General features: G+C 47.2%; 1 protein-coding gene across 4 annotated transcripts in view, besides 2 other annotated features; it reads right to left on the reverse strand.

Moving 5' to 3' along the window:
- Window positions 1,601-2,120: an enhancer, noted in NCBI's record as "NANOG-H3K27ac hESC enhancer chr19:7109747-7110266 (GRCh37/hg19 assembly coordinates)". NCBI's record gives its function as "activates a minimal SCP1, AML or CMV promoter by ChIP-STARR-seq in naive H9 embryonic stem cells {active_cell/tissue: H9 hESC(naive)}" and the evidence as "EXISTENCE:reporter gene assay evidence [ECO:0000049][PMID:30033119]".
- Window positions 4,130-22,502, reverse strand: part of INSR (insulin receptor) — a 182,150-nt gene continuing 163,777 nt past the window's right edge. For 2 of the 4 annotated variants that reach the window (XM_011527989.4, XM_011527988.3), the window contains 8 exons: window positions 20,717-20,816; window positions 18,449-18,516; window positions 17,148-17,392; window positions 14,744-14,854; window positions 14,479-14,638; window positions 12,485-12,614; window positions 11,314-11,448; window positions 4,130-9,275 (listed from right to left, as the gene is read on the reverse strand). In XM_011527989.4, coding sequence (XP_011526291.2) covers window positions 8,921-9,275; window positions 11,314-11,448; window positions 12,485-12,614; window positions 14,479-14,638; window positions 14,744-14,854; window positions 17,148-17,392; window positions 18,449-18,516; window positions 20,717-20,816 — 1,304 coding nt within the window. In that variant the 3' untranslated portion in view covers window positions 4,130-8,920. Of the gene's footprint in view, window positions 9,276-11,313; window positions 11,449-12,484; window positions 12,615-14,478; window positions 14,639-14,743; window positions 14,855-17,147; window positions 17,393-18,448; window positions 18,517-20,716; window positions 20,820-22,502 lie in introns of all 4 variants that reach the window. The other 2 variants (NM_001079817.3, NM_000208.4) reach the window with 1 other exon arrangement.
- Window positions 5,230-5,430: a silencer, noted in NCBI's record as "peak3314 fragment used in MPRA reporter construct". NCBI's record gives its function as "represses an SCP1 promoter by STARR-seq MPRAs in K562 erythroleukemia cells {active_cell/tissue: K562}" and the evidence as "EXISTENCE:reporter gene assay evidence [ECO:0000049][PMID:32103011]".

Consider the following 22,502-nt stretch of genomic DNA (forward strand, 5'->3'; position numbering starts at 1 on the left):
AGGGAGATTCGTACAACTAATCATAGGAGAGCCATGGTTCAAAATGAGGCAGAGGGCTTCCGGGAGCTGACTTGAGCCACTAAGACAAATATAATATTTTGGGGGTCAGGTGAAGTAACCTTTCCCTCTCACCCTCTTAGAGTCTCTGACTGGGACTGACATAAGACAGATTAACAAGATAAATATACACATTTCATTTAGTTGAGGATTTTTGTTTAGTTTTGGGGACAGTGTCTCACTTTGTCGCCCAGGCTGGAGGACAGTGGCACAATCATAGCTCACTGCAGCCTGCAATTCCTGGGCTCAAGGAGTCCTCCCACTTCAGTCCTCTGAGCAGCTGGGACTACAGGTGTGCACCACTGTGCCTGGCTAATTTGTAAAATTTTTCGTAGAGATAGGGTCTCTCTATGTTGCCCAGGCTGGTCGTGAACTCCTGGCCTCAAGTGATCCTCCTGCCCTGACCTCCCAAAGTGGTAGAATTACAGGCCTGGGTCACTATGCCTGGTCTTTATTTAGTAATTTTTACATGTGCAGGGGAGATTTTGTAAGAAAAACGAAGACCTAAAGAAGCAGTTGGAGCTGAATGCTTATGTACTAGGTTGGACAAAATATAGTATGGTAGTTTCATCTCCTGCTTTCAGGAAGAAAAAGGAAAGTCAGAGTGTCCTTCTTGTTTGCTATTTTTCAAGCACCTTTAACTCAAAATAACCAATGTGCCAAAGTGGCATACTTTGTTGTTGTGAAGTGTTTTTTTTTTTTTTAGACAGAGTCTCGCTCTGTCATCCAGGCTTGAGTGCAGTGGCGTGATCTCGGCTCACTGCAACCTCCGCCTCCCGGGTTCAAGTGATTCTCCTGCCTCCTCCTGAGTTCAAGCGATTCTCCTGCCTCAGCCTCCCAAGTAGCTGGGATTACAGGTGTGCACCACCACACCCAGCTAATATTTGTATTTTTATTAGAGACAGGGTTTCACCATGTTGGCCTGGCTGGTCTCGAACTCCTGACCGCAGGTGATCCGCCTGCCTTGGCCTCCCAAAGTGCTGGGATTACAGGTGTGAGCCACTGTGCCCGGCCAAAAGTGGCATACTTTGGAGTGGCATATTTGGATCCCTTACACAGGCAAAGGCAGAATGGAAGCAAAGTTCCCGTGTTCTTGTCCTGAGTCAGCTGAGTCCAGTGGGGGAAGGGGAAGTTGTTAAAATGCAAGTTCCCAGGCCCTGCCCCATAGATGCTCATGGAGGAGGCCTGGGTGTGGCTTAGACAGACACACCTTTGTTTTTAATAAGTGGGATTCTGATAAGCACCCAAGGCCCAGGAGGAAGCTCCAGGAACCCAGTGCAGACACTCCCCACTCCAGGCCAGGGCGCCAGCTACCCTGCTAAAAGGTGCTGTGATCACTTGGCCAGGGCTTTCAAGGAATCCAAGTGGCTCCTCTGCACAGAGACCACACGGCCGTCCACCCTCCCTGAGACTGATGCCTTCCTTGATGAGCTTTCCTTGGAAGAAAAACATTTTCCATTTTCCAAGAGACTCACATTGAATTTCACAAACCCAGGGAAGCAGAATTTACGCTGCCACCACAGCCGATAAGCAGTAGCATCAATTTCTTGGAGAACAGGGAACTTGGAGGGACTTGGGGATATGGGAATGTCCATCCTGAAGGGAGCATGAGAGATCAATGTTACCTCATTTAATCTTTGCCATGGTCATATAAGGTAAGGTCTATCGTCAATAATAGGAGGGTAGGGCCTCTGTGGGCCATGATCAGCCTGCTAGCTGGATGGCAGAGAACTGGGAGCAGAAAGGAGGAGGGGAGAGAGCTGGAATGACCATTGGGATTCCAGAGCCCAGGGTTAGGACCACCGCCCTTTGTAAAACCAGCCACTTAGCCAGTTAGTTGCTTTGTGTGTCTTCAGGCTAATTTAACAACCCCATACTGCGGAACTCTGGGCCAGAGTTTGGAGGAATGTGAAGAATTCAGACGCAACTTTCATGCAGCCTCTGGAAAGCTCCCAGGATAATGGGGAAACACACACATTCAATAACCTCAACTTTCGATGGCCCAGCTCAGAACACTGCCAGCTGGAGGTAGGTGGTCTGGAGAAATCCAGAGACCGCCTGGAGGGGTTGGGGATTGAGTTCCATTGCCTTTGGGAGGGAGAGAGATTCCACAGCCCACATACTTTGCACTTTAGCTAAGGTCAACCCCTCCACCTGTGCCGTAGATCTCATCGTCACTTGTTTGCTTAAGGACATAGAGCTAGTGATCCCCTGCCTTCATCTCTTTTCCCTCTGATGACTGGATTATCCCTGTCATCATCCATACTGCTATTTCTCCCATCTCAAAAACAAGGAATAATAATAATAATAGGATGGTAAAGTGAGAACTTTACCTTTATATTATTATTAGTAGTAGTAGTAGTAGTATTTTTTTTTTTATTTTTGAGACAGAGTCTCACTCTGTTGCCCAGGCTGGAGTACAGTGGCATGATCTCAGATCACTGCAACCTCTGCCTCCCAGGTTCAAGCGATTCTCCTGCCTCAGCCTCCCGAGTAGCTGGGACTACAGGCGCCCGCCACCACGCCCAGCTAATTTTTGTGTTTTTAGTAGAGACGGGGTTTCACCATGTTGGCCAGGTGATCTCCTGGCCAAGGTCTCGATCTCCTGACCTTGTGATCGGCCCGCCTCAGCCTCCTAAAGTGCTAGGATTACAGGCATGAGCCACCGCGCCCGGCCCACTTTTATATTATTAAAAAAATATAATAATAATGATAGGAGGGTAAAGGAGTGGAAGATTATTGCAGGATTGGACTCTAGTTGGTTCACATCACCTTTTATCTGCATCCTTGGACAGTCCTCTCCAAAGCTGACTCTGGGTTTGGCCATGGGACTTACTTTGGGCAATGGGACAGTAGCAAATACCACACGAGCAGAAGTTTGGAAAATATTTACATTTGGGGGCTTTTTGTTCCTTCCGACTGGGTATCCCTGCAACCACCACCATATGAACAAGCCTGAGTGAACCTCCTAGAAGACAAGCAATCCTGGCTCTCCCAGCAGAGGCCTCAGCACAGGAGTGAGGCTGTTCCCGGAAGAACCACCCAACCAACACATAGAACTGTAAGAAACAGGCCAGGCACCGTGGCTCATGCCTGCAATCCCAGCACTTTGGGAGGCCGAGGCGGGCAGATCGCTTGAGAACAGTAGTTCGAGACCAGCCTGGGCAACATGGCGAAAACCCGTCTCTACTAAAAATACAAAAATAATCATCATAATGATAATAATAAGGCTGGGTGTGGTGGCTCACACCTGTAATCTCAGCACTTTGGGAGGCTGAGGCGGGCGGATCACCTGAGGTCAGGAGTTTGAGACGAGTCTGGCCAACATGATGAAACTAAAAATACAAAATTAGCTGGGAATGGTGGTACACGCCCGTAATCCCAGCTACTTGGGAGGCTGAGGCAGGAGAATTGCTTGAACCCGGAGACAGCGTTGCAGTGAGCTGAGATTGCACCACTGTCCTCCAGCCTGGGTGACAGAGTGAGACTCCATTTCAAAAAACAAACTAACAAAAACAAAAACAAACAAACAAAAAAAGAAAATAAATAAACAGTTGCTGTTTTAAGCCACTCAAGAAAGACTATTCAAAAGGCTTTCAATCCCATGGTCTAACCCATGGTCACTCACCTGTCCACCCAACCTGGGACAGGTCTCCACTCCCAGGATGACATTGAAAATACTTAACATATGAGTTTCCCGCATGTCAGAATAGAGCAAGATCTTGAAGGTTCATTGGTATTCTCGGAGTGAACCCTTTAGTGGTTGGACCATGGGGAGGTCTGGGAGCCCTTGGGGAAGCGCTTACTTACCAAATGGTATGGAAATAGTGCAATATTTAAACCACCAGTTTGGCCATACAAGTATGTCCCTACGAGTCATCAACTCTGCTGGTAGCAACTATTTAACCTCCCTTTTCATGTGTGGAAGAATCTAGGTGTTTTTCTCCTCTAAAAAAAGGCACCTACATATTCCAAGAGGTTTTCCTTAACACAGCCCAACTCATAGCCACATCCCCCGACCACACGACAGGTCCTTACCGGGACACCACACAAAAACAAGCGTATTCTCAGATAATTTAATCAGAATTTTAATATAAACAGGTCATTATCCCATATTTTACATGCAGAACGATTTCAATATTCCAAAAAAAAAGGCGTCTTCTGTACATGGTGCTACTTGGCTCTTGTAGGAAAACATTGAAAAAATAATAATTGAGCTGTTGGGGGGTTTTGTGTTTCTGAGTTGTTTTCTGCAAAAGCTGCAGCACATTTGATCCTGCGTTGCCAACGCACAGGGCCGAGGCCACCCAGGCACACAAAGGGACGAGGAGAAGCAACTTTCAGGCAAAGTGTAAAGACTAAACAAGCTGTTCCTGAATATGTGCATGGGTGCACACTTATTTTGAGGCTCTTCCTTCCTTCTCCAATGGGACCAAGAGCCCCAGATTTGTGATCTGGTTTTTAACAAGGATTTTCAGTGGCCCGCACCCAGATAGAAATTTGGCTGGTGGCTGGTTCTGGACCTTGACTAGTATCAGAAGGTAAAAGTAAGCTCAAAAAGCCATTGTGTCCCCTCCCCTCACTCCCATTTCTCGGGGACCCTTAAGGAAATATTCACCTTCCATTGCACTCCCTGAAAGTCCACCATGTTCTTTTGTATGTTCTAGGAAAAAAAAAAGTGCTGACCTGTTCTTTTCATTCCCAACCTCACCTCGCATATAAATTAATATTCTGAAGAACATGCTGGAAGATTTTCTGAAGTGACACCCCTCTCTGTGTACCATGTATATAAAATCGGCATTCCCTGTTCCCCATCCTCAACAAAACCATTGTTTCTGAAGAGCCTAAGGTGTCAAGGACTCACCAGGTGACATTCAAAGGACATTTAACCCTAAACTTCCACCCACTGTGAAGGAGAGAAATGATTAGCACTGGGACTACAGCACATCCATTTACCGGATGACCAGCGCAAGTCATATGCTGATGACGCTCCTGCTCTTTCACACGTGTTACAGCAGACTACAAATAAACACCTCCCAATCCAATAAGCACATTTCTTGGTGGACTACCTGCCCTGCTAGGATACAGTGAAAGATCTGTCTGTCAGTTGGTAACATAGTCCCCAGGGTCACAGGATGACCTATGCAGACCCTTGTGTCAGTTCCCACAGCTTCTCTCAATCATCCTCAGCCTATATCCAGACAAGCAGCAGTGCTTCTCTTTCTCACTGCTTCCAATGATGAAACAGCACCTAGGACAGCTCCTAAAACCTGAACATTTTCTGATGCGTATTTGACATCACTGATGCAGAGAGAAAGTGATGTGCTTGGTATTCTCCTCCTGGAAGAAGGAACTCCTGTGTGGCTTTCACTACATTAATGAAAAGGGTTTTAATCATAGTGAGACATCTTTAAGAACAAGCAACAAAAAGTGTTATCCTAAGCTGGTTTTGTTGCTTTTTGTTGTTGTTGTTGCAACTTAACACTACAAACTCCCAGGACAACCGTGTCTTTCTAGGACCAAAGTTTTATTGTTACAAAGTCAACATTTCCTAATGTCAAAGGAGGTTTGCAACCCAATAGCTGTTTGCTCTTTTCACTGTGGCAGTAGAGTCAAATAAATGAAACTGGTGAATCCCATTTGCAAGGGGCAGGCCCAGCACACCCTACCTTTCTCCAGGGCAGGTGGAGAAAGGTGAGTCTGCAAGGGCAGTGCCTAAAAGTACAAGAGCAGCAAGATTTGGGCCCCACTGGTCCTGCCTAGACTCTCACATGGGTTATCAAAGCTGCACAAGGTCCAATAATATCAGCTTGAGGTCAGTCAAACCCCAACACAGAGGTCCAAGGTGTTGTTGCAAAAAAAAAAAAAAAAAAAAAAAAAGCGTTCAGCACATTAATGGGTTTTGGATTGGAATTTCCCTCACATGCTCCCATCCCACTTGGAGAATTTAAAAAGACATTGCATTAGGTGTTTGTGTGTAAGGTGCATCACCAGCCTGAAAGGAGTGGGCATAAACCATCAGGGAGCCCAGGGCACCTTTGTGCTCACTTCAGGGGGATTCCATGGAACAGGTGGGAATGCTTGCTCTGAATCAAAGCCCGTCTTTGCCCCGGCAGCCATCTCTCACCAAAGGAAGGTACACCTTGCTGGGTTACCCCATATATCAGATACATCATGACAGCCTGGAACTTAGTTTATGTTTGGGGAACATAGTGACAATAGATGGAGGATTTTTTTTTAAAGGAAGATTAAATTCAGAGAAGAATATTACCAGCCAGGAAGAAAAGGATCTATGCTCGCATAAAGGCCATACCTTCTCCATCCCAACTCCCTCCCTCAAAATTCTTACTGGTCCCTGGCATTCGAATCAGCTGATACACACGTTCCCTGATTCAGACCGGTTCCAGGTAGAATTCTGAAATCTCAAAGATGTCCATGATTGAATCACATCTTAACAATACACTGAGGTAGACTGTGCTGAAAAAAGAAAATCACTATCCCCCATTCACCTGTTTATTTTTCTTTGATAAAAATTTACATGCGCTCCATTTTTTATGAGAGTGATTTTCAGAGTGATTTTATATATTAAAATAAATACTTTTTCCCCTAATATAAGAAAAACCTTTCTGAATTAGAAAAATGTGAAAATTGCAGCTAGTGTAGTATACAACCACTACAAATTTACTAAGAAGAGAACAAAATACCTAGTTCTACGTGTTTTTTTTTTAAATTTAGGTACAGACCCTCATATTTACAAAATAAATTTGGCAAAAATAATTTCTGTACTCTTGCTTCTTGTACCCAATCACTGAGGCTCCTCAGCAATATTTTTACATGCTGTATTTTCCCGAATCATATAAATAAGATAGCAATAGACAATTGGGATTCATGTCTACCTGTGTTCTTAATCAAGAATTGAGAGGGCTTGGAGGTTGCCATTATGACTCTATCCCATTCTTAAGCCCACAACTCTTAAGAGAAGAAGAAAAGGAAGCAGTCAAAAAGTTGTAAGAAAATGCACTCAGGAATAACGCATGGGCGATGATTTTTTGATGAACCAAAGTGATGAGTTCACTGTGTTCTTTGAGCAGCTGTGGTGGTTCTTTTTGCAAAGAGAAGAAACGGTGGATTCACGCCCATTCGGAAGTTCTTGGTGGTGTGTAAGGTCTTTTTCACGGTTTCTCCTCCAGACTCTACTCTCTTAGGGATTGCAACACTGTAAGCACCTGAGCATTCAGCTCAGGCACCACACCTGGCCCAGATGAGGTCACCGGGCTCAGAGCAGCTTCCGGGAGTTCAGTACTGAGGACCGTCAGATGCTCTCAGGGTGGAGGGGACCAAGACGTACTCTCAGTGCACCTCTCTCTTACATTGCTTAGATGTTCCCAAAGTCCATCCAGGTTGTTGTGCTTTGGGATCTGACGTTCTTGGGTTTGCACAATAACGGTTAGGATGTTCACACCCGGGAGAGGAAACGCCACAAGAGGTACACACAGAGAATCAGAGGATGAACACAGGTGTTCTTGAAGGCAGGCTCAGAGCTAGGTAGCTACCAGCTTATCCGAACAGGAACCTTCCAGCAGACCTGGTACCTGAACCAGACCATCCATAAAACCTAGTCTCTCACACACTCCACGTGGCCTCACAACATCCAAAAGTGTTAGCAGCGAACATGGCTTCATTCCCAGAAATGGATGCCTTTAAGACCAAACAAAGAGGCCACTTGTGCCTGACTCCCTCCCCTTCCCGGCCCCACAACAGGCAGACCAACTCATGTCCCCACTCCCCGCCAACCCCGGGGAATAGTCAATAACTTATGAGGCTAATACCAGAGACTTTAAAAATTAAATATGGTACAAATATATTCTCAAAACTCTGTCATCTCAGTTCTTTTTTTTTTTCCTTTTTCCATTTTGTTTTTTCTTTCTTTTTCTTTTTTTTTTTTTAATGTCCTAGCTTGGTTTGGTCTTGAAAAGATTCATAATCACTCCAAATGAAATGCTCCTCCCTTGGCCACCAATGTGAAGGGAGGGTAGAAACCTGAGGCTAGACTTCTGACACAAGAAGAATCTGTCGAGAGCACAGTCTCCCAGTCAATAAGAAGGAAGGAGAGAGGGGGATGAGCTCGCACCCTTGAGAAGAACCTTCATGAGCCAATTCCCAAAGCATCAACTCCGCATGGATACTTTGCACACACATCAGCCGTGTCTAATGGACACACACACGTGCATACACACGTGAGCACACGCCGGGACCACAGACCCTTATCCAAAATATGAAAGCAGCAGCTATTGGTCAATTTGAGGAACTCATTTTGTAAAGAAAAAAAAAATCCTTCAGCCTGGATGAGAGAAAAAAAAAAAACCAAAAAAACCATCTTGAAGCTCAACCTGTAAAACTTGAAATTCTCCTGGAACAGGGCTGGGTGTTTTTGTTTTGTTTTTTCTTTCGAACTTTTGTTCCACAAACAGGAAGTTTTGTCTTTTATACTGAAGCTCAGACACCAGCAAAAAAAAAAAAAAAAAAAAAGAATTTGTAAAAACAGGTGCTTTCTTTCCATCTGCTGGGGGCGGGTGGGGGGAACGAAAAAACACAAAATCCTGGTTTGAAACCGTCGTTGCCCCAAAGGAGCAGCAACTGTGGAAACCCCTTGCCCTCCAGGTTCACAGTTAAATCCTCTGCAGGACTAGTTAAATTGGTAACCAAACGAGTCCACCTTAAGATGAACAGAAATGTATAGGAACGATCTCTGAACTCCATTGGACATGGTAGAGTCGTGAGAATCCTGAGTTTTCCAGAGGCTTTCAAACCAGAGGAAAGCGAAAATGGGAACCCCTGCCCGCCCCCGCCACGGTAGGCACTGTTAGGAAGGATTGGACCGAGGCAAGGTCAGAATCCGCCCGTTTTTCTTGCCTCCGTTCATGTGTGTGTAAGGGATGTGTTCCTCGTAGCTCCGCTTGAAACCCAGCGAGGACCCTCCATCCCGGCCCCCCGCCTCCTCCCTCTGACAGTGCGAGGAACGGTCCAGGGGCACATTCTCCATGTCCTCAAACTCCATCTCCAGCTCCTCACTCTCGGGAGCCTTGTTCTCCTCGCTGTGGAAGAACGACACCTCTGGAAAGCTGGGGTGCAGGTCGTCCTTGAGCAGGTTGACAATCTCCAGGAAGGTTGGCCTCATCTTGGGGTTGAATTGCCAGCACATGCGCATGAGGTCAGTGCTGCGGGGCAGAAGGACACGTCCTGGGTGAGTCTGGGGGCCCTGCCACGCATCCTCCCAAACCCCCACTCTTGTCCCTGCAGCCGACACCCACGGACCACATGTGCTCACATCAGATGCTGGCTGTGTGTGTGGACAATTGTCAAGGCAGAAATAGCATTGCTAGAGGTGCTGAGAGATGGTGTTTTCTTTTTGCTTTTCTTCTTCTTATTTTGGACACAGCGTCTCATTCTGTCACCCAGGCTGGAGTGCAGTGGCATGATCATAGCTCACTGCAGCCTCTGCCTCCTAGGCTCGAGCAATCCTCTCACCTTGGCCTCCCAAGTAGCTGGGACCACAGGTGTGCACCACCATGCCTAGCTAATTTTTGTATTTTTTGCAGAGACAGGGTTTTGCTATGTTGCCCAGGCTGGCCTCAAACTCCTAGGCTCAAATGATCCACCCACCTTGGCCTCCCAAGGTGCTGGGATTACAGGTGTTAGCCACCATGCCTGGCCGCTTTTTTTTTTTTTTGAGACAGGGTTTCTCACTTTGTCACCCAGGATGGAGTGCAGTGGCGCAATCATAGCTCATTGCAGCCTTGAACTCCTGGGCTCAAGCCATCCTCCTGCCTCAACCTCCCAAAGTGCTGAGGTTCCAGGCATGAGCCATCCTGTCCAGCCTGAAAGATGGTTTTGAAAAGGGATTCCTCATTTCAAAACTGGCTCAAGAGTAATCCCAGCACTTTGGGAGGTTGAGCCAGGAGGCTGAGTCCAGGAGTTCAAGGTTGCAGTGAGCTGTGATTGTGCCACTGCGCTCTACCAGCCTGGGTGACACAGCGAGACTTCATCTAAATATATATATATGTACATATGCATATATATTTGGAGGGGGGAATATATAATATGTATGCCTGACAAAATTTTTGTGTGTCTGTGTTTGTTTTTGAGACAGAATCTCACTCTGTCACCCATGCTGCAGTGCAATGGTGCAGTCTCTGCTCACTGCAACCTCTGCCTCCCCGATTCAAGCAATTCTCCTGCCTCAGCCTCCTGAGTAGCTGGGATTACAGGCGCCCACGACCGCGCCTGGGTAATTTTTATATTTTTAATAGAGGCGGGGTTTCACCATGTTGGCCAGGCTGGTCTTGAACTCCTGACCTTAGGTGATCGTTCACCTCGGTCTCCCAAATTGCTTGGGATTACAGGCGTGAGCCACCCATGCCCAGCTACCTGACAAAATTTTAAGTGTATAAAGAATTAACAGGCGGCTGTAATCCCAGCACTTTGGGAAGCCAAGGTGGGTGGATCACGAGGTCAGGAGATCGAGACCACGGTGAAACCCCATTTCTACTAAAAATACAAAAAAAAAAAAAAATTAGCCAGGCGCGGTGGTGGGTGCCTGTAGTCCTAGCTACTCGGGAGGCTGAGGCAAGAGAATGGTGTGAACCCGGGAGGCGGAGCTTGAAGTCAGCCGAGCTCGCACCACTGCACTCCAGCCTGGGTGACAGAGCAAGATTCCGTCTCAAAAAAAAAAAAAAAAAAAAAAAAATTAACAGGCAAACAGGTCTCTCTCCCCCAACCCCAGGTCTCCAGTTCCCTTCTCCCAAGATAACTACCGCTATAGGTGTTTTGTGCAACCTTCCAAAGATACAATATGCAAGAAAATCATATGATTTGTGAACACAAGCAGGCAGGTAAAGACATAATATGTAAACATGTGTGCTTATAATATGTAAATGAGGTGTACATGTGCCATGATATGCTGATGCACACAGAAACATATAATATGCAAACATAAATACCTATGTAAATATATAATATGCAAACGTAAGCGTACATGTAGCACATATGGGAACTCAAGTGTGTGTACCACAATGCAATATGCAAATGCAAGCATGCATGTAAAGACAAGCTATGCAAACACAAACACACCTGTAACATACAGCATGCAAACACGGTGAGCGTGTAGACATAGGAAAGGCAAAACCAAGCACACGTGTAAAGGGCAATACCCTTTCAACGAACACCTCACACACCTTAAACCCTTTCTACACTTACACTCTCTCTGGACAGTTGTCGGGTTGATCCAGATACCCTCCATCCATGACAAATTTCAACACCTGTTCATTAGACAGGCCTTGGTAAGGCTGTTCTGCCAAGCTGGTGATTTCCCAAAGGACCACGCCAAAGGACCTGCCGATGACAGTTGATAGTAGTAACAAAGAAGCCATTTAGACACACACACACACGCGCGCGCGCAAACACACACACGCAAACGCACACACACACGCAAACACACATGCCAACACATACATGCAAACACACACATGCAAACACACACGCACATACACGTGCACACACATGCAAATACACACAAACACGCATGCGCACACATGCACACACAAATATGCAAACACACAAACACATATACACACACAAACACACACACCCAAACACACACACGCACACACATGCAAACACACACAAACACACATATGCACACACATACACACACAAACACACACACAAACACATCTCTTGGTTTCTAGAACATGGTTAGCCACTTAATAAAACAATTCATGCTGCAGTTCATAAATGCTGTGAAAGGAAAATCAATTTGGGGCTCCCAAATCACTAAACTCAAGGAAAAAGTCCAGCTAGGAACTGCTTGGACAAACCTGCTTCCCATTCTATTCAGAGTCCCCACTCTGCTCACTGAGATACCTGCATATCTGATTGGCTCCTTTGGAGAGGCGCATCAGAAACTCAAAAGAATGCAACCATTTGTCTCTTATCTACCTACAACCTGGAAGCTCCCTCCCCACTTCGAGTTGTCTCGTCTTTCCAGACCGAACCAATGTTCATCTTATATATGTTGACTGATGTCTCATGTCTCCCTAAAATGTATAAAACCAAACTGTGCTCTGACCACCTTGGGCACCTGTCCTCAGGACCACCTGAGGCTGTGCCACGGGCACACGTCCTCAACCTTGGCAAAATAAACTTCCTAAATTAACTGAGACCTGTCTCAGATTTTCGGGGTTCACAATGCCTACAGGATTAGTCAGGACATAAGAGTAGCCGTGGGAAGATCCTAAGACAGGACGCTGCCTTCCTTTCCTTGATGGGGCGTCCAGGAGGATGGCAGGCTTCCTTCCCCCGCTCTTGGCTCTCACTAGCACCTGGAATTCAAGCCCAGCGTCCATCCACCCATCCACACACAACTCACCACATGTCAGAAGAAGTGGTGAAGACCCCATCCTTCAGGGACTCCGGTGCCATCCACCGTACAGGGAGCAGACCCTTGCCCCCTTTCCGGTAGTAATCCGTTTCATAGATGTCTCTGGTCATTCCAAAGTCTGACAACACAAAAGGTTCACACGCTCTTAACCTTCAGCCTTGGTCCTAGCATCTGCCACCTTGACTGCCCCACCTCTCACAGAGCCCTAAGAGGGGTTCACCTGGCCCACGTCTGCGCTCACCTGGGTGGTGGCCAAATCCAGTAAGAATGGATTCTGAGGGTACGCATGGGGAAGTGAAGGGGGAAGATGGGCTACTGTTTAAAGGGAGGGAAAAGAAGGTACCAAATCACAAAGAAGCTACATTTTTCTTTTTTTTTTTCTTTGATATGGAGCCTCACTCTGTCCTCCAGGCTGGAGTGCAGTGGTGCAATCTTGGCTCACTGCAACCTCTACCTCCCTGATTCAAGCAATTCTCTTGCCTCAGCCTCCTGAGTAGCTAGGATTACAGCTGTCTGCCACCATGTCTAGCTAATGTTTTGTATTTTGAGTAGAGACAGGGTTTCACCGTGTTGACCAGGCTGGTCTCGAACTCCTGATCTCAGGTAATCTACCCACCTCAGCCTCCCAAAGTGCTGGGATTACAGGGGTGAGCCACCGCACCTGGCCAGGAGATGTCTTTTTGAGTCATAAATAGAATCATATCACTTCCTGCTGCCCCTTGCTAATGTAAGATAATGTCGAGATGACTTGCTGTGACACGCAAGGTCCTTCTGGGTCTGGTTTCTGCCTCTCTCCTCATCCTCACATCTCACGCTGCTCTGGTCCCCTCTATATTCCTTTTTTATTTGTTTTTTGAAATAGCGTCTCACTGTCACCCAGGCTGGAGTGCAGTGATGCTGTCACAGCTCACTGCAGCCTCCACCTCCTGGGCTCAAGCAATCCTCCCACCCCAGCCTCCTGAGTAGCTGGGACCACAGGTGTGCACCACCACACCCCACTTTTTAAAAAATCTTTTCAAGGAGATGGAGTCTCACTATGTTGCCCAGGCTGGTCTCAAACTCCTGGACTCAAGCAGTCTTTACACATTGGACTTCCAAAGCACTGAGATTACAGGCGGGACCCCCGGTCCTACAAACATATCTTTTAAAGAAGTGAATGGGTAAGTGAGTTTATCAATACATGCAATTAAATGACAGCTGGTGGGGGGTCCCCATCCAAAATCTTGCCCAGCCAGGCACAGTGGCTCATGCCTGTAATCCCAGTGCTTTGGGAGGCCAACACAGGTGGATCATATGAGGTCAGGAGTTTGAGACCATCTTGGCCAACACAGTGAAACTCCGTCTCTACTAAAAATACAAAAAGTAGCTGGGTGTGGTGGCGCACGCCTGTAATCCTAGCTACTCAGGAGGCTGAGGCAGGAGAATCGCTTGAACCCAAGAGGTGGAGGTTCAGTGAGCCGAGATCCTGTCACTGCACTCCAGCCTGGGCGACAGAGCAAGACTCCATGTCAGAAAAAAGAAAAAAAAAAAAAGCCGGTGCAGTGGCTCACGCCTGTAATCCCAGCACTTTGGGAGGCCGAGGCAGGAGGATCACGAGGTCAGGAGATCAAGACTATCCTGGCCAACATGGATGAAACCCCATCTCCACTAAAAATACAAAAATTAGCCAGGCATGGTGGCGCACACCTGTAGTCCCAGCTACTTGGAAGGCTGAGGCAGGTGAATCACTTGAACCTGGGAGGTGGAGGTTGCAGTGAGCTGAGATCACACCACTGCACTCCAGCCTGGGCAACAGACAGAGTAAGACTCCGTCTCAAAAACAAAAAGACAAAACAAAACAAAAAAAACCCCACAAAAAAAAAAGAAGTATCTTGCCCCTTTATATTATCAGAAAAGACTTAACGGCTCATTATAGACAACTTCCTTCTGAAATCAAACCTGGCCTGGGTCGTTATGTTTTCAAAGCAGAAAGCCAGACGAACCTCCAATTTTGACAGTAAAATCATGGGCGACCATGCAGTTTCTCGCTGCCAGGTCCCGATGCACAAACTTCTTGGCGTTCAGGTAGGCCATCCCGTCAGCAATCTCTGCCGCCATCTGAATCATCTCTTGAAGGGTAGGGGGAGGGCGGCCAGGATTATTCTAAAACAGAAACACGGGGTTGGTGTTTCAGCAGCACTGGGATCCGAGGAGGCCAGGAGCGGGTGCTCCACCGAGTACCCCGCTGGGTCCCCCGAAGCAGCTTACCTCAGCCTCTGGCCGCAGAGAACGGAGGTAGCTCTTCAGGTCTCCGTGAGCCATCAGCTCCATCACCACCAGCGTGGGCTGGCCCTTGGACACCACTCCCAGGAGGCGCACCTGCAGAGCAAGCAACCAGGGTTCTTGGAGGAGGGTCCGTGATTCGACTCACCAGGGTTCTCCTCCCTCCCTGGTGTCTATGTCACACACAGCACCCTGTGGCCTGGATGCAGCGTGCTCAGCCCTGGTCTAGGAGAGCAGACATACCTGCCCGGACAGCAGACAGATAGGCCTTTGTATTTTTTTTTTTTTAATTTTCGAGACGGAATCTTGCTGTTACCCAGGCTAGAGTGCAGTGGCGTGATCTCGGCTCACTGCAACCTTTGCCTCCCGGGTTCAAGCAATTCTCCTGCCTCAGTCTCCCGAGTAGCTGGGGTTACAGGTGCCCGCCTCCACACCCGGCTAATTTTTGTATTTTTAGTAGAGACAGGATTTCTCCATGTTGGTCAGGCTGGTCTTGAACTCCTGACCTCTGGTGATCCGCCTGCCTCAGCCTCCCAAAGTGCTGGGATTATAGCCACTGCACCCAGCCAGGCCTTTGTATTTTAATCATTCCCTCTGCCTGGCTCTCTGTTCCCTGCCACATCCACAGGGCCCAGCTCCTCATGTCCTCTAAGTCTTTGCTCAAATACACCCCTGTCCAACCCTCCTTTCCTCCCTTTCTTCATGTTTCCATAGCATTTGCTCCTAATGTATAAAGGGTTTGGAGTCAGCTGGGGGTGGTGGCTTATGCCTGTAATCCCAGCACTTTGGGAGGCTGAGGCCGGTGGATCACCTGAATTCAGGAGTTCGAGACCAGCCTGGCCAACATGGCGAAACCCCATCTCTACTAAAAATACAAAAATTAGCTGGGTGTGGTGGTGGGCTCCTGTTATCCCAGCTACTCAGGAGGCCGCGGCAGGAGAATTGCTTGAACCTGGGAGGCAGAGGTTGCAGTGAGCCGAGATTGTGCCACTGCACTCCACTCTGGGCGACAGAGAGAGACTCTGTCTTAAAAATATATAAAAATAGGCTGGGCGTGGTGGCTCACGCCTGTAATCCCAGCACTTTGGGAGGCCAAGGCAGGCGGATCATGAGGTCAGGAGATCGAGACCATCCTGGCTAACACAGTGAAACCCCGTCTCTACTGAAAATACAAAAAAATTAGCCAGGCACTGGGCGTGGTGGCTCACGCCTGTAATCCCAGCACTTTGGGAGGCCAAGGCGGGTGGATCACGAGGTCAGGAGTTCAAGACCAGCCTGGCCAGCATGGTGAAACCCCGTCTCTAATAAAAAAAAGTATAAAAAGCATTAGCTGGGCGTGGTGGCAGGCACCTGCAGTCCCAGCTACTCGGGAGGCTGAGGCAGGATAATTGCTTGAATCCAGCAGGCAGAGGTTGCAGTGAGCTGAGATCATGCCACTGCACTCCAGCCTGGGTGACAGAGTGAGACTCCATCTCAAAAAAAAAAAAAAAAAACAATCAGCCAGGCGTGGTAGCAGGCGCCTGTAGTCCCAGCTACTCGGGAGGCTGAGGCAGGAGAATAGTGTGAATCCAGGAGGTGGAGCTTGCAGTGAGCTGAGATTGTGCCACTGCACTCCAGCCTGCACAACAAAGCGAGACTCCGTTTCAGGAAAAAAAAAAAAAAAAAAAAAAAAAAAAAAAAAAAAAAAAAAAAAAAATATATATATATATATATATATATATATATATATATATATATATATATATGAAATAAAATAAAAATAAAGGTTTTGGAGTCTGTCTCCGCCTGCTGTTTTGGAAGCTCTACAGGGGCAGGTATCCACTGTATCACAGGGACAAGAGCAGGGCTTTAAATGCCCCATAAATATGTGTGGCAAGGATGAAAGCACATAGGACTCAAAGAGGAACAAAGGAGCAGAAAGGCAGGAAGAGTTGGTGCTGCCTTCAAAGGAGAGTAGGAACGAGGGCAGGTGGTATCAGGTGGACCTCTATGTGGTCCTGGGTTACAAAGGTGCCAGGAAAAAGCAAGAAATGGAAGAGTCTAAAAAGCAATGGAAGATTGTGGAAAATGATGGAAGATTCCGGAAAGTGGTGGAAGATTCCAGAAAATGATGGAAGATTCCAGAAAGTGATGAAAGATTCTGGAAAGCAATGAAACATTCCAGAAAGTGATGAGACAGTGATAGAGTCTGGTTCCAGGCGAAGTGGGAGAGGATGGGATTTGAGAAGGGAATGATCCCTCCTCACACCTCTAGGATGGGAAGCTTAGTGGAGTGAGGGGTGGGTAGGAGGTTACACCCTGTGTCCTCTGTCGCTCTGTGCAGGAGGAGGAGGCAGAGAAAGGGAAGGGTCAGGAAAGCCAGCCCATGTCCCACCCCCACTGGACTCACCACGTGATGGCAGGTGAAGCCCTTCATGACCGAGGCCTCATTGAGGAACTCAATCCGCTCTCGGAGACTGGCTGACTCGTTGACCGTCTTCACCGCCACGCGGGTCTCTGCCTCACCCTTGATGATGTCCCTGGCATTGCCCTCATACACCATGCCGAAGGAGCCCTGCCCCAGCTCTCGAAGGAGGGTGATCTTCTCTCGAGACACCTCCCACTCGTCCGGCACGTACACAGAGCATGGAAACACTACTTCTTACTTATCTACACAGCATCCTTGGAGGATCCCTTGGGGGTCTGCAGCCACCTTCCACCCAAGCCCTCACCCAAACCCCCTCGAAAACACTCATGAAATGAGTTCTGTGATCCAGGACCCATGCCGGGCACTGGGCATATGGCCGAGAACAGGACAGGCATCTGCACCCATGGAGAGGGCATGGCAGAGACTCAAGGAAGGAGCCACAACTGGTCCAAGATCCTGGCCAATATGTCCTGAGGCAAACCTGCATCCCCATCCTTCTTGTCTGATTTCAGACCCTTGCTATGGAATGATGCTACTTCCCACCTGAGACTACTGTTTCTGCAAAGTGCCAAGGGGATGGAAGACAGGTTGTAATAGGTTGGGGAAAAAAAAAGCCAGGATACTTGGAGCTCTTCCCATGAAAAGGTGGAGTCTATCTCACCACCCCTTGGCCCTGGGCATGGCCTTGTGAGTTATTTTGGTCAATGGGAATCAACAAGAATTGTCCAAGCAGAGATTTGGAATGGACTGTTGCCCTGGAGCTTGCCCTGGAGCTTTCTACTAGGAACCAACAGAGGACCATGGAATGAAGCCTGAGCCAGCCTGCTGGAGCCTAAGAGGCTAGATGGACAGAGTGAGGCTCAGCCTCCCCCAGCTTAGGGCCCCCACCTTGGGACCACCCAGCCTACTGACCACCAGACATGTGAGTGAAATCATCTAAGACTACCGAGTGCTAGCTGACACACCAGCAAAATGTAGCTACATGGGTGAAGCCAGGCAAGACCAGAAGAACTGCCCAGCTGAGCCCAGCCCAAGTGGTCGACCCTGCCCAAGGGTCCCAGACCGGCTAGATGAGCCCATTCAGGCAGGTGCCAAATACCATGTGTCCAGATGCACACAGTAATGAGGTTTCTGCAGCAAGGGCAGTTTGGCAAGCTCAAATGAATAAGAGGGCTTTTCTTGGCCTCCCTGGGGAACCCATCCTTCACTCTCACTCAATGGTGAAGGCAAAGGAAGCTGATGAGTAGGGTTCTGGCCACCCACAGGGAAGGGATGGTACTCACCATCACTGGCACTGAGATACTCAGGGTTTGAAGAAGCGTAAAGCGGTCCCAGCGGCCCATCTGGCTGCCTGGAGGAGGAAAACGAGGCACGTTAGCTTGAGATTCTCATGGGACTCTGCAGAAAGGTGTTTCATACAAGACTCCCCAAGGCAAATGGCAGCCCTTACCAGCAGAATCCCCATAATCCTAGATGCAGTCTAGGGCAGGGATGGGGGACCTTTATGTTTTGAATGGAAGCCCATCAGACAGGTATGTAAGTGCATCAACATGGGAGCACTCATCCCTCCCTGGGTGGTTTTTTTTTTGTTTTGTTTTTGTTTTTGTTTTTACATTTCAGAGTTGCAGTCTTGCTCTGTTGTGGCTGGAGGGCAGTGGTATAATCATAGCTCACTGCAGTCTTAACCTTCTGGGCTCCAGAGATCCTCCCACTTCAGCTTTCTGAATAGCTGGGAATACAGGTGCTCACCACCACACCTGGCTAATTTGTAAAATTTCATATAGACAGGGTCTCACTATGTTGCCCAGGCTGGTCTTGAACTCTTGGTCTCAAGTGATCCTCCTGCCTCATCCTCCCGAGCGGCTGGGACTACAGATATGCACGACCATGCAGGGCTCTGGCTGGCTTTTTAAATAATTTATGGCCATCCATGTAACACTTAAAAGCCACTCACCCAGTACTGTTCTAGAGCGAGCTCATCCCGACTGATGAGAAACAATTATTAAATTTTCAGGAAACTAGTGAGCCAGTTGTTAAATACAAGCATCATTAAAGATTAAATTGTACAATGCCTTCCAAATAGAACAAAAAATATAAATTATAGAGGCTTACAATTAAATAAATTATCCTAAAAGCAAAGACAATACATGTTCAAAACTCATCACTTCCTAACTCTCATACTACATTTAAATATGATCAATGCAGTTGAGGTTATTTACATTATATCATTTATACACCATATTGTATCCATAGGGTGGATTCAATGGGGAGCTATTATGTATCTCTTTCTAACACTGCACTCAGTAATATTATGTCTACAGCTTGAATTTAGACATCCTGGGAATATTTACATTACAGAAACTGGCAAATGCTATAACTCAGGACTGGATTTGTTGTTCTGTTGTTTGTCCAGGCTTGAGAAAGTGATGAGAAAAATATTTTTTTGTTTTGTTTTGTTTTTGAGACAAAGTCTCACTCTGTTGCCCAGGCTGGAGTGCAATGGTGCGATCTCGGCTCACTGCAACCTCTGCCTCCTGGGTTCAAGCGATTCTCCTGCCTCAGCCTCCTGAGAAGCTGGGATTACAGGCGCACATCACCACACCTTGCTAATTTTTGTATTTTTAGTAGAGACGGGGTTTCACCATGTTGGTCAGGCTGGTCTCGAACTCCTGACCTCATGATCCGCCCGCCTCGGCCTCCCAAAGTGTTGGGATTACAGGTGTGAGCCACCGTGCCCAGCTGAGAAAAATGTTTAATCATGTAGATTAAACTTAAAAGCGTGTCATGTCTGCAACTGTGATGTTGCATGTGGCACAAAATGTTCTTCTGATATTTAAAAATTACCATCTGACTCAGCAAAGACGTCACTCATATCACTGATGAACATATATGTCTTATTTCAGTTTTGTCCTACTTTTTTTTTTTTTCCCGAGACGGAGTCTCCCTCTGTCGCCCAGGCTAGAATGCAATGGTGCGATTTCAGCTCACTGCAACCTCCGCCACCAGGGTTCAGTAATTCTCCTGCCTCAGCCTCCTGAGTAGCTGGGATTACAGGCGCCCACCACCATGCCCGGTTAATTTTTTAGTATTTTTAGTAGAGACGAGGTTTCACCATGTTGGCCAGGCTGGTCTCAAACTCCTGACCTCAGGTGATTCACCCGCCTTGGCCTCCCAAAGTGCTAGCATTACAGGTGTGAGCCACTGTGCCCAGTCAAGTCCTACTCCTTAATGTAAATTTTGAAAAATTAATCAACATTCACATTGGAGCTTTACTTGTTTATCAATTGCAATAATAGGTTAGCTTCGGATATAAAGGTTTGGGCAAAAAAAAAAATCAATAAAAACATTCTGTGAGAATCAACTGTCTAGAGGGAATTTACAATAAAGAGTTGTGTATATCATATTATGACAATTATCTGTAAATTGCATGTTACACATCCTATATCAGCAAAATTCATAATAAACTTAAATATGCCTATACCTATATCAAGGCATGTTTTCCCCCAGAGAACCAACTGTTCCCAGCACACCACTGAACTCACTGAACTCACCTCTTTCTCAGGAATAGATAAATACTTCCAATCACAACACTGAAGAGAAAGACAAAGATGAGGGGGCCGATGATAATTTTTGCAATATTTGACGGGACGTCTACTGAAATAGAATAAGAAAATATATGTTTCATATCAATGTGTTTCCAACAAAGTTCACATCAAAAATCACATCCACTCCTGGAATGGGTGGGCCACCCTGTTCCTTCCCTCCCTTGTCCATAAACCTCTCTGCTGCTCTTCCACATCCTGATTTTCCAGCAGTCCCGAAACAGTCCCGTAGGTGCAGTGGGACCAGGCAGTGGGCTCAGAGGTCAGTATTCTGGAAGCACACTCTTCCCCACCCCTGCCCCAAATCACTGCTCATTTCCATCCCTCCCACATCTCAGGCAGTGGATGCAGGACCCTTTTCTGTCAGTTTAATGCTCTGCTGTTGCCCCTCTGAAATGCTTATTCATTTTATTTTAATTTTTATTTATTTACTTATTTTTGTGACAGAGTCTTGCTCTGACACCCAGGCTAGAGTTCAGTGGCACGATCTCGGCTCACTGGAACCTCCTCCTTTCGGGTTCAAGTGATTCTCCTGCCTCAGCCTCCCAAGTAGCTGGGACTACAGGCATGCACCACCACACCCGGCTAATTTTTGTATTTTTAATAGAGACAGGGTTTCACCTTGCTGGCCAGGCTGGCCTCAAACTCCTGACCTCAGGTGATCCTCCCGCCTCAGCCTCCGAAAGTACTGGGATGACAGGCGTGAGCCAACGTGCCCGGCCAAATTCTTAATAATTTTAAAGCAAGGAGTTCTGCATTTTCATTGTTCACTGGGTCTTGCAAATTACATAGCTAGTCCCGATCCCAGCATGACTTTTGACAGATGTAAACTTCTTTTAATTTTTATTTTTTAGAGACAGGGTCTTACTCTGTCACCCAGGCTGGAGTACAGTGGCACAATCACAGTTCACCGCAACCTCAAATTCCTGGGCCCAAGTGATCCCCCTGTCTCAGCCTCCCAAGTACCTGGGATTACAAGCATGCACCACCATAGCTGGCTAATTTTTGTATTTTTTTGTGGAGACAGAGTCTCGCTATGTTGCTCAGGCTGGTCTCTAATGCCTGTCCTCAAGCAATCCTGTTGCCTCAGCCTCCCAAAGTTCTGGGATTACAGGTGTGAGCCACCTCATCTAGCCAAAAAACTCTAGTAACAAAGATGGAGACACTAGCAACAGGTGCCAGGCACTTAACATTTGTGTCATTAAAATGTCCCTCCACCTCCTGAAGTGGTTCTGTTATTATCTCCATGTACAGATGAGGAAGTGCAGGATTGCCAGATAAAGAAAATGTGATACATACACACCATGGAATACTACACAGCCATGAAAAAGAATGAGATCATGTTCTTTGCAGCAACATGAATGGAGCTGGAGGTGATTATCCTAACTGAATTAACACAGGGACAGAAAACCAACTACCTCATGTTCTCACCCATAAGTGAGAGTGAGACACTGACCACACATGGACAGAAAGAAGTGAACAGTAGACACCGGGACTGCTATGGTTTGGATCTGTGTCCCCACCCAAAGCTCTTGTTGAAATGTAATCCCCAATGTTGGAGGAGTGGCCGGGTGGGAGGTGATTGGATCATGGAGGCGGTTTCTAATGGGTTAGCAACATCCCTACTGGGTACTGTATAATAAGTGGGTTCTCATGGGATCTGGTTGTTTAAGAAGTGTGTAGCACCATCTCCCCGTCTTAACACCTTGCTCCCACTTCACCTTCCACCATGATT

The sequence above is a fragment of the Homo sapiens genome, chromosome 19 (assembly GCF_000001405.40).
Source record: "Homo sapiens chromosome 19, GRCh38.p14 Primary Assembly".
NCBI classification, from domain to species: domain Eukaryota; kingdom Metazoa; phylum Chordata; class Mammalia; order Primates; family Hominidae; genus Homo; species Homo sapiens.